Source organism: Homo sapiens, chromosome 4, assembly GCF_000001405.40.
Source record: "Homo sapiens chromosome 4, GRCh38.p14 Primary Assembly".
NCBI classification, from domain to species: domain Eukaryota; kingdom Metazoa; phylum Chordata; class Mammalia; order Primates; family Hominidae; genus Homo; species Homo sapiens.
In genome coordinates this window covers 70,992,845-71,007,616 of record NC_000004.12, presented here as the reverse complement: position 1 = coordinate 71,007,616, position 14,772 = coordinate 70,992,845, and the positions used below count along the sequence as shown (strand labels likewise).

The 14,772-nt window shown below is 42.4% G+C and overlaps 1 protein-coding gene across 2 annotated transcripts in view, besides 6 other annotated features; it reads right to left on the bottom strand.

Moving 5' to 3' along the window:
- The window catches only part of DCK (deoxycytidine kinase), a 37,266-nt gene extending 23,298 nt beyond the window's left edge, over positions 1-13,968 (bottom strand). The window contains exons 1-2 of one of the 2 annotated variants that reach the window (NM_000788.3): positions 13,691-13,968; positions 9,435-9,550 (exon numbers count right to left, since the gene is read on the bottom strand). In NM_000788.3, coding sequence (NP_000779.1) covers positions 9,435-9,550; positions 13,691-13,781 — 207 coding nt within the window. In that variant the 5' untranslated portion in view covers positions 13,782-13,968. Of the gene's footprint in view, positions 1-9,434; positions 9,551-13,599; positions 13,669-13,690 lie in introns of those variants that run through there. The other variant, XM_047449689.1, reaches the window with a different exon arrangement.
- Positions 1,074-1,213: an enhancer, noted in NCBI's record as "active region_21605". NCBI's record gives its function as "activates an Ori minimal core promoter by ATAC-STARR-seq in GM12878 lymphoblastoid cells {active_cell/tissue: GM12878}" and the evidence as "EXISTENCE:reporter gene assay evidence [ECO:0000049][PMID:35858748]".
- Positions 2,686-3,382: an enhancer, noted in NCBI's record as "H3K27ac-H3K4me1 hESC enhancer chr4:71869952-71870648 (GRCh37/hg19 assembly coordinates)". NCBI's record gives its function as "activates a minimal SCP1, AML or CMV promoter by ChIP-STARR-seq in naive H9 embryonic stem cells {active_cell/tissue: H9 hESC(naive)}" and the evidence as "EXISTENCE:reporter gene assay evidence [ECO:0000049][PMID:30033119]".
- Positions 2,734-2,993: an enhancer, noted in NCBI's record as "active region_21604". NCBI's record gives its function as "activates an Ori minimal core promoter by ATAC-STARR-seq in GM12878 lymphoblastoid cells {active_cell/tissue: GM12878}" and the evidence as "EXISTENCE:reporter gene assay evidence [ECO:0000049][PMID:35858748]".
- Positions 2,991-3,285: a silencer, noted in NCBI's record as "tiled region #311; HepG2 Repressive non-DNase unmatched - State 13:Ctcf, and K562 Repressive non-DNase unmatched - State 15:Elon". NCBI's record gives its function as "represses a minimal TATA promoter and a strong SV40 promoter by Sharpr-MPRA in HepG2 and K562 cells {active_cell/tissue: HepG2 | K562}" and the evidence as "EXISTENCE:reporter gene assay evidence [ECO:0000049][PMID:27701403]".
- Positions 13,543-13,722: an enhancer, noted in NCBI's record as "active region_21603". NCBI's record gives its function as "activates an Ori minimal core promoter by ATAC-STARR-seq in GM12878 lymphoblastoid cells {active_cell/tissue: GM12878}" and the evidence as "EXISTENCE:reporter gene assay evidence [ECO:0000049][PMID:35858748]".
- Positions 13,893-14,232: a silencer, noted in NCBI's record as "silent region_15474". NCBI's record gives its function as "represses an Ori minimal core promoter by ATAC-STARR-seq in GM12878 lymphoblastoid cells {active_cell/tissue: GM12878}" and the evidence as "EXISTENCE:reporter gene assay evidence [ECO:0000049][PMID:35858748]".

Sequence of the window (14,772 nt, the reverse complement as noted above, 5' to 3'; positions counted from 1 at the left end):
AAAGGCAAACAATGTAATTCCACTTATATAACATTCAAAAATAGACAAAACTAAATTATACTTAGAGGTATGTTCATGTATGCTCAAACAATTTTTAGGAAGCAGGAAAATTATTATCACAAAAGAATGGGAGTAATTACCCCTAGCGGAGTAGTAACGTAGGAAAGAAGATATAGTGATTGGAGAAGGCGAACAGGGATTTCTGGAATGATGATGTCGTATTTCTTGACCTGGATAATGGTTATAAAGATGTCAACTTTAAAACTGTTCTTCAAACTGTACATTAGCTTTTACCTACTTTTCTACAGATATATCATGTCAAAAATGTTTTTAAAAAGAATCAAATAAACAAATTTACCCACTTTAAAATTCTACTGTAGACTAACCTTGCCTTTCCCCAAAAATCAGATATAAAACATCAATTTCTTAAGATAATGAGGTCTATATGGGAAGAAAGCCCCTTTAAGATTTAGTCCTGGATATCCTAAGGATTGGGGTGTACTGAATTAGGCCCTAGGTCTAAAGTTAGCTATGCCTGGCAAATAGAAGGTGTATGAAAAAGTATTTTTGGTTATTCAAAACCATATATTCTCAAAGTCCATGGAATATCTTGCTAGTGATTCCTCTTTGCATATGTGATTTACATTTTAAATATTCAATTATTATTCCCAGAATTCCTTATACCAACAGCTAAATTTTTTTAGATACTTTTTTTTCAATTTTCTGTACTCCTCAGATCAAAGTAAGTTGTTAGCATACATTTCCATTTTTAAGGTTTCTGCCTTACTGCTTTCAATTTCTTTTTTTCTTTTAGACAGGGTCTTGCTGTCACTCAGGCTAGAGTACAGTGGCATGAGCATGGCTCACTACAGTCTCAATTTCTTGGGCTCAAGCAGTCCTCCAACCTCAGCCTTCCAAGTAGCTGTAACCCCAAGTGCAGGCTACCACACCTAGCTAATTTTTAAATTTTTTGTAGAGACGGGGTCACCCTATGTTGCCCAGGCTGGTCTTGAACTCCTGGGCTCAAGCGATCCTCTGGCCTCAGCCTCCCGAAGTGCTGGGATTGGCTGCTCTGCCTATGGAGTAGCCATTCTTTATTGCTTTACTTTCCTAATAAACTTGCTGTCACTTAAAAAAAAAAAAATTCCAGGATTACATGCATAAACCACCACACCTGGCCTTGCTTTCAATTTCAATTCTCATTTCTCCAGAAACGAAAATCTTAGCAACGTCTCTCTCACACATACAACCATACATTTTGGTATTTAAAAAAATGACACTGAACTCTGTCATTCTCTTTCTTCCTCATTTGCAGTGCAGAACGGTAAAATGCTGCAAAATTACAACTTCTGCCCAGAGTGAAAGTCTGGCAAGAATGAAAGTAAAAAGAAATGAGAGTAAATGACAAAAGGCTTGAAAGGTAAAATTCAGTTACTGAATAGTAGTTTTTCTTTTTCTTATTTGCTTTTTTTTTTTTTTTTTTGGTGTTTTTGTTTTTTCTGTTTTTTTTTTTTTTGAGATGGAGTGCAATGGCGCGATCTCGGCTCACTGCAACCTCCACCTCCCGGGTTCAAGCAATTCTCCCGCCTCAGCCTCCTGAGTAGCTGGGATTACAGGCGCCCACCACCACGCCCAGCTAATTTTTGTATGTTTAGTGGAGACAGGGTTTCACCATGTTGGCCAGGCTGGTCTCGAACTCCTGACCTCAGGCGATCCACCTGCCTCGGCCTCCCAAAGGGCTGGGATTACAGGTGTGAGCCACCGCACCCGGCCTTATTTGCTTGTTTTTAAACAAAATGTGAAAAGACACTGAAGGGTTGGGCATAGTGGCTCAGGCCTGTAATCCAAACATTTTGGGAGGCTGAGGCAGGCGGATCACCTGAGGTCAGGAGTTTGGGCCCAGCCTGACCAACATGGAGAAACCCCATCTCTAGTAAAAAAAATTAGCCAGGCATGGTGGCCCATGCTTGTAATCCCAGCTACTTGGGAGGCTGAGGCAGGAGAATCGCTTGAACCCGGGAGGCGGAGGTTGTGGTGAGCCAAGATCGAGCCATTGCACTCCAGCCTGGGCAACAAAAGCGAAACTCCATCTCAAAAAAAAAAAAAAATTAGAAAAGACAATGAAGGAATTTAATTTGCTGTTAGATTTTTTAAAACTTTTATTATTTAACTTTTTAAAAACTTTTAGATTCCCAGGCAAGATGGCCAAATAGGAACAGCTCTGGTCTGCAGCTCCCAGTGAGACCAATGCAGAAGACGGGTGATTTCTGCATTTCCGACTGAAGTACCCAATTCATCTCATTGGGACTGGTTATACAGTGGGTGCAGCCCACAGAGGCCAAGCAGAAGCAGGGTGGGGCATCGCCTCACCTGGAAGGTGAAAGGGGTGGGGGAACTCCCTCCCCTAGCCAAGGGAAGCCTTGAGGGATGGTGCTATCCAGCCCAGATACTAGGCTTTTTCCCACAGTCTTCACAACCCGCAGACCAGGAGATTCCCTCGGGTGCCTACACAAGGGCCCTGGGTTTCAAGCACAAAACTGGACAGCCATTTGGGCAGACACGGAGTTAGCTGCAGGAGTTTTTTTTCATACCCCAGTGGTGCCTGGAATGCCAGCGAGACAGAACCGTTCACTCCCCTAGAAAGGGGGCTGAAGCCAGGGAGCCAAGGGGGCTGAAGCCAGGGAGCCAAGTGGTCTTGCTCAGCAGATCCCACCCCCACGGAGCCCAGCAAGCTAAGATCCACTGGCTTGAAATTCTCACTGCCAGCACAGCAGTCTGAAGTCAACCTGAGACACTGAAGCTTGGTGGGGGGAGGGGTGCCCGCCATTACTGAGACTTCAGTAGGTGGTTTTCCCCTCACAGTGTAAACAAAACCACCTGGAAGTTCAAGCTGGGCAGAGCCCACCACAGCTTGGCAAACCCCTGAAGCTAGACTGCCTCTCTAGATTCCTCCTCTCTGGGCAGGGCATCTCTGAAAGAAAGGCAGCAGCCCCCGTCAGGGACTTACAGATCAAACTCCCATCTCCCTGGGACAGAGCATCTGGGGGAAGGCGTGGCTGTGAGTGCAGCCTCAGCAGACTTAAACAATCCTGCCTGCTGGCTCTGAAGAGAGCAGTGGAACTCCCAGCGCAGCGCTCAAGCTCTGCTAAAGGACAGGCAGCATCCTCAAGTGGGTCCATGACCCCCATGCCTCCTGACTAGGACACAGCTCCCAGCAGGGGTCGGCAGACACCTCATATAAGAGAGCTCTGGCTAGCCTCTGGCAGGTGCCCCTCTGGGACAAAGCTTCCTGAGGAAGGAGCAGGCAGCAATCTTTGCTGTTCTGCAGCCTCCGCTGGTGATACCCAGGCAAACAGGATCTGCAGTGGACCTCCAGCAAACTCCAGCAGACTTGCAGCAGAGGGGCCTGACTGTTAGAAGGAAACTAACAAACAAAAAGCAATAGCATCAACATCAACAAAAAGGACAACCACGCAAAAACCCCATCTGAAGTTCACCAACATCAAAGACCAAAGGTAGATAAATCCACAAAGATGAAGAAAAGCCAGTGCAAAAAAGCTAAAAATTCCAAAAACCAGAATGTCTTTTCTCCTCCAAAGGACCACAACTCCTCGCCAGCAAGAGAACAAAGCTGGATGGAGAATAAGTGTGACGAATTGACAGAAGTAGGCCTCAGAAGGTGGGTTAATAACAAACTCCACTGAGCTAAAGCAGCACGTTCTAACCCAATGCAAGGAACTAAGAACCTTGATAAACGGTTACAGGAACTGCTAACTAGAATAACCAGTTTACAGAAGAACATAAATGACCTGATGGAGCTGAAAAACACAGCATGAGAACTTGGTGAAGCATACACAAGTATCAATAGCCGAATCGATTAAGTGGAAGAAAGGATATCAGAGATTGAAGAAAAACTTAATAAAAATAAAGCGTGAAGATAAGATTAGAGAAAACAGAATGAAAAGGAACAAACAAAGCCTCCCAAGAAATATGGGACTATGTGAAAAGACCAAACCTACGTTTGACTGGTATACCTGAAACTGACGAATGGAACCAAGTTGGAAAACACATTTCAGGATTATTATCCAGGAGAACTTCCCCAACCTAGCAAGACAGGCCAACATTCAAATCCAGGAAATACAGAAAACATCACAAAGATGCCCTTGAGAAGAGCAACGCCAAGACACATAATCGTCAGATTCACCAAGGTTAAAATGAGGGAAAAAATGTTAAGCGCAGCCAGAGAGAAAGGTCGGGTTACCCACAAAGGGAAGCCCATCAGACTAACAGCAGATCTCTCGGCAGAAACCCTACAAGCCAGAAGAGAGTGGGGACTAACATTCAACATTCTTAAAGAAAAGAATTTTCAACCCAGAATTTCATAACCAGTCAAACTAAGCTTCATAAGTGAAGGAGAAATAAAATCCTTTACAGACAGGCAAATGTAGAGGGATTTTATCACCACAAGGCCTGCCTTACAAGAGCTCCTGAAGGAAGCATTAAATATGGAAAGGAAAAACCGGTACCAGCCACTGCAAAAACATACCAAAATGTAAAGACCATCGACACTATGAAGAAACTGCATCAACTAACAGGCAAAATAACCAGCTAGCATCATAATAACAGGATCAAATTCACACATAACAATATTAACCTTAAATGTAAATGGGCTAAATGCCCCAGTTGAAAGACACAGAGTGGCAAATTAGACAGAGTTAAGACCCATCAGTGTGCGGTATTCAGGAGTCGCATCTCACATGCAAAGACACACAAAGGCTCAAAATAAAGGGATGGAGGAAGATTTACCAAGCAAATGGAAAGCAAAAAAAAGGCAGGGGTTGCAATCCTAGTCTCAGATAAAACAGACTTTAAATCAATAAGCATGAAAAAAAGACAAAGGGCATTACATAATGGTAAAGGGTTCAATGCAACAACAAGAGCTAACTATCCTAAATAGATATGCACCCAATACAGGAGCACCCAGATTCAAAATGCAAGTTCTTAGAAACCCACAAAGAGACCTAGACTCCCACATAATAACAGTGGGAGACTTTAACACCCCACTGTCAATATTAGATCAACAAGACAGAAAATTAACAAGGATATTCAGGACTTGAACTCAGCTCTGGACCAAGCAGACCTGAAAGACATCTAGAGAACTCTCCACCCCAAATCAACAGAATATACATTATTCTCAGTACCACAGTGCACTTACTCTAAAATTGACCACATAATTGGAAGTAAAACATTCCTCAGCAAATGCAAAAGAATGGAAATCATAACAGTCTGTCAGACCACAGTGCAATCAAATTAGAACTCAGGATTAAGAAACTCACTCAAAACTGCACAACTACATGGAAACTGAACAACTCCTGAATGACTACCGGGTAAATAACGAAATTAGGGCAGAAATAAATAAGTTCTTTGCAACCAATGAGAACAAAGACATAACGTACCACAATCTCTGGGACACAGCTAAAGTAGTGTTTAGAGGGAAATTTATAGCACTAAGTGCCCACATGAGAAAGCAGGAAAGATCTAAAATCGACACCCTAACATCACAATTAAAAGAACTAGAGAAGCAAGAGCAAACAAATTCAAAAGCTAGCAGAACACAAGAAATAACTAAGATCAGAGCAGAACTGAAGGAGATAGAGACACGAAAAACTCTTCAAAAAATCAATGAATCCAGAAGCTGGTTCTTCGAAAAGATTAACAAAATAGATAGACCACTAGCCAGAATAATAAAGAAGAAAAGCGGGAAGAATCAAATAGACACAATAAAGGATCACCACTGATCCCACAGAAATACAAACTACCATCAGAGAACACTATAAACACCTCCACGCAAATAAACTAGAAAATCTGGAAGAAATGGATAAACTCCTGGACACATACGCCCTCCCAAGATTAAACCAGGAAGAACTCTGGTTTAATGAACAGACCAATAAAAAGTTCTGAAATTGAGGCAATAATATCCTACCAACCAAAAAAAAGCCCAGGACCAGATGGATTCACAGCTGAATTCTACCACAGGTAGAAAGAGGAACTGGTACTATTCCTTCTGAAACTTCCAAACAATAGAAAAAGAGGGACTCCTCCCTAACTCATTTTTTGAGGCCAGCATCACCCTAATACAAAAACCTGGCAGAGACACAACAAAAAAAAGAAAATGTCAGGCCAATATCCCTGATGAACATCGATGCGAAAATCCTCAATAAAATACTGGCAAACCGAATCCAGTAGCACATTAAAAAGCTCATCTACCACGATCAAGTCGGCTTCATCCCTGGGATGCAGGGCTGGTTCAACATACTCAAATCAATAAAACATAATCTATCACATAAACAGAACCAATGACAAAAACCGCATGATTATCTCAATAGATGCAAAAAAGGCCTTCAATAAAATTCAACATCCCTTCATGCTAAAAACTCTCAATAAACTAGGTATTGATGAAATGTATCTCAAAATAAGAGCTATTTATGACAAACCCACAGCCGATACCATTCCCTTCAAAAATCGGCACAGGATAAGGATGCCCTCTCTCACCTCTCCTATTCAACATAGTATTGGAAGGTCTGGCCAGGGCAATCAGGCAAGAGAAAGAAATAAAGGGGATTCAGATAGGAAGAGGGGAAGTCAAATTATCTCTGTTTGCAGATGATGACTGTATATTTAGAAAACCCCATCATCTCAGCCCATAATCCCTTATGGTGACAAGCAACTTCAGTAAAGTCTCAGGATACAAAATCAATGGGCAAAAATCACAAGCATTCCTATACACCACTAACAGACAGAGAACCAAATCATGAGTGAATTCCCATTCACAATTGCTACAAAGAGAATAAAATACCTAGGAATACAACTTACAACGGATGTGAAGGACCTCTTCAAGGAGAACTACAAACCACTGCTCAAGGAAAGAAGAGAGGACACAAACAAATGGTAAAACATTCCATGCTCATAGATAGGAAAAATCAATATTGTGAAAATGGCCATACTGCCCAAAGTAATTTACAGATTCAATGCTATTCCCATCAAGCTACCATTGACTTTCTTCACAGAATTAGAAAAAACTACCTTAAATTTCATATGGAACCAAAAAAGAGCCCGTATAGCCAAGACAATCCTAAGCAAAAAGAACAAGGCTTGAGGCCTCATGCTACCTGACTTCAAACTATACTACAAGGCTACAGTAACCAAAACGGCATGGTATTGTACCAAAACAGAGCTATAGACCAATGGAACAGAACAGAGCCCTCAGAAATAATACCACACGTCTACAACCATCTGATCTTTGACAAACCTGACAAAAACAAGCAATGGGGAAAGGATTCCCTATTTAATAAATGGTGCTGGGAAAACTGGCTAGCCATATGCAGAAAACGGAAACTGGACCCCTTCCTTACACCTTATACAAAAATTAATTCAAGATGGATTAAAGATTTAAACATAAGACCTAAAATCATAAAAACTCTGAAGAAAACATAGGCAATACCATTCAGGACATAGGCATGAGCAAAGACTTCATGACTAAAACACCAAAAGCAGTGTTAACAAAAGCCAAAACTGACAAATGGGATCTAATTAAACTAAGGAGCTTCTGCACAGTAAAAGAAACTATCATCCAAGTAAACAGGCAACCTACAAAATGGGAGAAAATTTTTGCAATCTACCCATCAGACAAAGGGCTAATATCCAAAATCTACAAGGAACTTAAACAAATTTACAAGAAAAAAAAACAAACAACCCAATCAGAAAGTGGGCAAATGATATGAACAGACACTTTTCAAAAGAAGACATTTATGCAGCCAACAAACATGAAAAAAAGCTCATCATCACCAGTCATTAGAGAAATGCAAACCAAACCCACAATGAGATACCATCTCACACCAGTTAGAATGGTGATCATTAAAAAGTCAGGAAACAACAGATGCTGGAGAGGATGTGGAGAAATAGGAATGCTTTTACACTGTTAGTGGGAGTGTAAATTAGTTCAACCACTGTGGAAGATAGTGTGGCGATTCCTCAAGGATCTAGAACCAGAAATACCATTTGACCCAGCCATCCCATTACTGGGTATATACCCAAAGGATTATAAATTATTCTACCATAAAGACACATGCATATGTATGTTTACTCCAGCGCTATTCACAATAGCAAAGACTTGGAACCAACCCAAATGCCCATCAATGATAGACTGGATAAACAAAATGTGGCACATATACACCAAAGAATACTATGCAGCCATAATAAAAGAATGAGTTCATAACCTTTGCAGGGACATGGATGAAGCTGGAAACCATCAATCTCAGCAAGCTAACACAGGAACAGGAAACCAAACACCGCATGTTCTAACTTGTAAGTGGGAGTTGAACAATGAGAACACATGGGCACAGGGAGGGGAACATCACACACCAGGGCCTGTCGGTGGGGTAGGAGGCAAGGGAAGGGTTAGCATTAGGAGAAATACCTAATGTAGATGACGGGTTGACGGGTGCAGCAAACCACCATGGCATGTGTATATCTACATAACAAACCTGCACGTTCTGCACATGTATCCCAGAACTTAAAGGATAACAACAAAAAAAGAAATTTTTATGAAAAAGAAAACTTTTATACTTTACTTAAAGTGCATAAATCTTGAATGCATAGTTTGATAAATTTTACTTTCCTTTTTTTTTTTTTGTTGAGACAGTGTCTCATTCTGTCACCCAGGCTGGAGCACAGTGGCGCCATCTCAGCTCACTGCAACCTCCGCTGCCTGGGTTCAAGAAATTCTCCTACCTCGGCTTTACAAGCAGGTGGAATTCAGGTGCCCACCACCACGTTCAGCTAAGTTTTGTATTTTTAGTAGAGACGGCATTTCACCATGTTAACGAGGCTGGTCTTGAACTCCTCACCTCAAGTGATCCGCCCGCCTCAGCCTCCCAAAGTGCTGGGATTACAAGCGTGAGCCACCAACCCCGGCCTCAATGCATGTTTAAACATATAGTCACCCCTCAGTAACCTCAAGAATTGATTCCAGGTTCCACACAGATACCAACATCCACATATACTCAAGTCCTTTATGTAAAATGGTGTAGTATCTGCATATATCCTCCCAAATAGTATAAATCATCTCTAGATTACTTATAATACTTAATACAATGTAAATGCTATATGAACAGTAATCCTTTATTATTTGTATTTTTTTGTATTATTTCTTTCTGAATATTTTCTATTCATGATTGGTTGAATCCATATCAATCTGAAACCCATTGATATGGAGAGCCAACTGTATATATATCCATGTAACCACCACCTAGATGAAGATATATACCTAAAGCGAGATTTGAAAGTTTTATTGAAAAAGAAAAAGAAAAAGAGATTAAGTACTACTGCTCCTCTAAACCAAGAGGCTTTTATCTACTTAAATTTTATTTTCATACCTCAAATTCATCTTGAGTACTTTGAACATTGCACCATCTGGCAACAGGTTCAGGAACCACTTCCCAATCTTCACACAATTGTTTAAGGATATTCACAAATGTTGACTTCCCTGCAGCTGTTGTGAGGAAAGATAAAATTGAGGAAGAAAAGTTGTCAGGAAAAAAAGATGTCAAGTAGTCATTAGCTTTTGCAAGATTTACAATAGCAAGCAACATAAAAAGCCCAAAACATTCAACTTTCTAAACTTTCTCTTCATATTTCTTTAGAAGAAAATGAAAAGGCTCCCTGCCCAATTTCATTAAGCACATTTGTTTTTTATTACGTTTAGTTTAACAATATATTATATTTAATAGTAGGGACAGTCTTGACCTAGAAGTAATACTCCTAATGGCCACCACACCCTTTATATCTGAAGTCACCAAATGTGGTTGTATTAGACATCTCTGGTTAGCATAATGTTCTCTCTCTTTCCCTGTGTGTGCGTGCACACACACACAGATGAACATATAAATAACTTCAATATACTTACAAGCAAAGCTTCCTCTTCCTTATAAATTAGATCCATGGGGAGTAGAAAGAACTTACCTTTGACTTGCAGAACTATATTTAAATCTAGGACATTAGACAGGGCAATAGAAAAGAAGAAAAACCTGGAAGAACTTTAAAGAATTACACACAGAGAAAAAACAGGAGCGAGGCAGTAAAGAAGGTGACACAGGTAGACAGTTTAGAAGAAAAACACAAAGTAAACTGTATCCAGAGGAGAGGAGAAAAACTTTTAACGATAAACTGGATAACAGTGAGATTTAATCATGGTAAAAACACTGGCCACCAAAATTTAGTATGGAGAGTGTAAGCTTAGGGACTGTACAGCATTTAGAAGAATGTTAAGTGGAAGTGAAAGCATATAGAAAGAACACCCCACATTCACTGAGCTAGATGGAAGAGGGAAAGGAGAACATGATGTTCAGAAATAGCACCCAAGGAACAAATAAAAAAATTAGGCATCCACCAGAGTCTGAAAGCACTTAAGGCTACAGCATTCAACTTTCTTCTGACACTGCTTACAAGCAGAAAAATTCATATGGTCATACTTAAAAAGTCTAAGAGTAATAACAGTTACATTTAGTTCAAGCAGAGTAATAACAGCTAGAGTTCCCAATCACACTAACACATCTAGTTCCTTAACTTATTGGGGCAAAGTGGGAGCTAGAAAATAAGCTAATTAATAAATTAATTTTCTATGAAGGCAAAGGAGAACAAGAACCAAAGACACTGATGTTAATACTTTAAAAAGTCATGGAAACTAACAGAATTCCTAATGCCAAGCAGGCATTATAATGCTGAAAGTCATTCTGAACAGACTATTAAGATGAGAAGCAGGTAAGTCCTCCATCAATCTAACATAAGGGAACATTTGAGTAACACAGAACATAAGAAGATGGGTTATATAAATATAAAACTAAAACGACCAAGTAAAGTTCAAATTCTAGGAAAAATAGAGGAATTGCAAAATAGTTTACGCACAGCTTAACAATTTGTGCATTTACAGCTTATTTGGATCTGGCAAATAAGGTGAAGGAGACATGAACAAAAGTGCAAGACCAATAATGAACAGTAACTAACAAAGTCTCAGTGTCAGGGAGACGAAAAATGGCAAGGAACATGCTCCATCTAAACACCAATTGTTGTCATACAGAAATGCAGGCCCGGTGTTAACAGATCTTCAGATTTTTCAAAAGAAGCCAAGAATCTAATTGTTTATGGGAAATCTCAAAACGTTTTCGAGTTAGCAACAAATTTAATTTTTTTTTCTTTAGACACAGGGTCTCACTCTGTAGCCCAGGCTGTAGGGCAGTGGCACAACCACAGCTCACGGCAGCCTCAAACTATAGGTCTCAAAGATCTCCACCTCAGCCTCCTGAGTAGCTAGGACTAAACGTGCATGCTAACACAACTGGCTTTTTTTTTTTTTTTGAGACTCTGTCACCCAGGCTGGGGTGCAGTGGTGCCATCTCAGCTCACTGCAACTTCTGCCTCCCACATTCAAGTGATCCTCCCACATCAGCATCAGCCGCCTGAGTAGTTGGAGCTACAGGCGTGATCCACTGTGCCTGGCCTAATTTTATTTTTATTTTTCTTAGAGACTAGTTCTCACTATGTTGCCATGCTAGTCTCAAACTCCTGGCCTCAAGCAATCCTCCTGCCTCAGCCTCCCAAAGCACTGGGATTACAAGCTTGAGCCACTGGCCAGTAAAATTTTTTTTCAACCTGTGCAGGCCAATATTGTGCAATTGCAGGCTATCAGTTCACAACTACTTTCAGTGTAGGTAAAGGCAAAATCAGTGAAGAATTTTAAGCAGGGGATAACACATGACATTTGCATACAAAAAGACCGTTGCAGAAGTAGTTAAGAGAAACTGGAGATGGGATGATATATTAGGAAATTATTTCAGCTGCTGAAAAGATTAAAGATGCTTTGAGGAAATATTTCTAAATATGATGCTACCTAACTGGATTGGAGAGAGGGAAAGGGGATGAATGTATTGTGGTATTGATCCGAGGGGTTATTCATTCAACTTTACTGTTTTGTTTCTGTGTTTTTAACAGAGTCTTGCTCTGTCACCCAGGCTAGAGTGCAGTAGTGTGATCATGGCTCACTGTGGCCTTGATCTTTGGGCTCAAGCAATCCTCCTGCCTCAGCCTCCTGAGTAGCTGGAGGCACACCAACACATGCAACTAATTTTTTAATTTTTTTGTGGAGATGAGTTCTCACTATGTTGCCCAGGCTGATCTGGAACTCCTGGACTCAAGTGATCCTCTTGCCTAAGCCTCCCCAAATCCTGGGATTACAAGTATGAGCCTCCATGCCCTGCCTCAAATTTACTTTTCAGATGGCTTTGTTCAGCCACTTTCTCCTGTCTTTATATATGGTCTTCTTTATTCAGTAAGCAGCTGTCAGAGATTCCATACTAGTAAACATGCACCCTCAAATAACTTACATTGCTAATTATATCATATGGTCTTTCTACTGGTGCTTTAATTCTGGAGCAATGAAATAAGAAGTCCTCTTTGAGAATGCAGTTTTTCTATTCATTTGAATGCTTAAAGCATCTGCTTGCCTGGCCTTTTTCAAGAAGGTACAGTGCTTTGAATGTGGTAAGAATTTTAAAAAATTTGCTGTATGCATGAATGACCAGCACCCAACCTGGAGCTAAAAAAATTTTTTTTTAAATCTATCAAAACAGGAAGTTTCAGGGGTAGGTTTCCTGTGGTTGGAGATACAGAAGAATCGGACGTTGGTGTGTATCTTGCAAAGTGACAGGCATGGCCTAGTCTGCCCCCCATCTGAGTTAACAGAAACGTTAGTGGTCTTTGAATCATAATCCAATGTTTACTTGGATGTGGAGTAAGGGGTGAGGAACTCCATGCTATTAAGATCATTAAAGACCTCTTTGCTTGTACTCGAATGTTTCGAGTTTCGTTAATAATATAGCTAAAACAATGCTTCGCTAATAATATAGCTAAAAAACTGTAAACAACCCTGAGGTCCACAACTAGAAAATGGATAAACGATGGTACATCCATGCAATGGAATACTACTCAGCAATAAAAAGAAACAAACTACAGACACAAGTAACATGAATGAATTTCAAAAGCATTATGCTAAATGAAAGACGCCAGACACAAAAGGCGATATAGCCTATGATTCCATTTATATGGCATTCTGGAAAAGGCAACACTTGCAGGGATAGAAATCAAATCAGTGGGTGCCAGGGAATAGGAAGGGTGGAGGGGGCTGAATACAAAGGAGCAGGTAGGAACTTTCTAAGGTGATGAAAATGTTCTGTATCTCGATCATGGTGATAGCAAAAGGCATAATGTTTGTCAAACCTCATAGAAGAGTACACCTAAAAAGGGTGAATTTAATGTAAGTTACACCTCAAGAAATCTAATACCCTTCCCCCGCTTCCCTTTGCGAGTTCCCAACAAAGAGGGAGCAGAGGTTCAAAGCGCGCCTCACAGAGACCGCAGGCCTGGCGCCCAGTCTGACCCCGGGGACCGCAGTCACCCCGTGGAGCGGGAGGTAAGGGAAGGATGCTCTGGGTGGGAAAGGAAGCCGAGGCCGCGTCCACACCGCCAGGCTGGAGGGAAAGCCCTCACCGAGTTGCTGCAGAGAGATGCGGCGAAGGGAAGCTTCAGCCACTGCCGCGACACCCCAGCCTTGCGTCCCACATTTCCGGAGGCTCCTTACCGATGTTCCCTTCGATGGAGATTTTCTTGATGCGGGTCCCCTCAGAGCTGGCTGAGAAAGACGGGCAGCTTCTCTTGGGCGGGGTGGCCATTCCTTAGTCTTGTGGCGGCCCAGAGCTCGTCCGGCAAAGAGGGCTGGGAGGCGGCCACGGGTGCGCGCACTGGAGCTCGCGGCGCCGCTAAGCCAGATCCTGACCTGCCGGGTCAGCTAGTGAGCTCACCGGCCCGCCGGCGGGTGTCGGGGTTTGACTTTGGCGCGCGGAGGCAGCTGAGGACACTGGCGGGCCTGCGGGGCGGCCCCGCCCTCCTCAAGCCGCGCTCCCTAGCTGCCCCTCGGCCCTCGCCCGCCTCCAGCGCGGGTTCCCGCGTGCGCGCTCCGCACGCCAGGTCACGTGAAGGCCGGGGCGGGGCCGCGCGTGTGGCGGAAGGCCTCTACCCCAAGCAGCCAGGCGCCCGGGCAGGGCGCGGGAAGAGGTTCCGGAGTCGGGTGGGGAGGAAGGGTGGACCCCAGAGGCCTGAGGGCGCTGGAGGGCAGAGGGCGTCACCTGCAGTGGGCCGTGCCAGGCTTTGGAAAACCCGCCTCTCTAGTGGGCCTGTTGGAGATGAACAGACGCGTCTGGACAGAACTGGATAGACTTAAAGCTTTGAACTCATCTGGGGAGAAGGCACTGTGTGGTAGGAAAATCAAATGGATTTACTCTGGCTTCTCAGCCTAGAGGAAGACTATCAGGCGAAGTGCCGTCCTTGGGAATCGCACTGCCCACTTAGAGAGCCAGGCTGTTTTCTTCTATGTGCTTTTCATTAATTAACGAAGTCTAGTGCCAGAAATACCGTCATTAGCCCATTTACCTGCCAGTGGGAAAACAGGCACTGAGAGGCTGCTTGTTCCAAGTGTCAAAGTCAGTAAGTGAAACTGGGATGGGAATTTAGGTAGTCAGATGCCACCCACAGGAGGCCTTTCCAGATCTCCCATACCGCTTTCCATTTGATTTGGATGCACGACCATGCTGTATAGAAGTTAGCACGTTGGGTAGGTAGGTTTCTGTTCAGCTGTTAACTCAGCCTGCCCGACACCTGGCACAT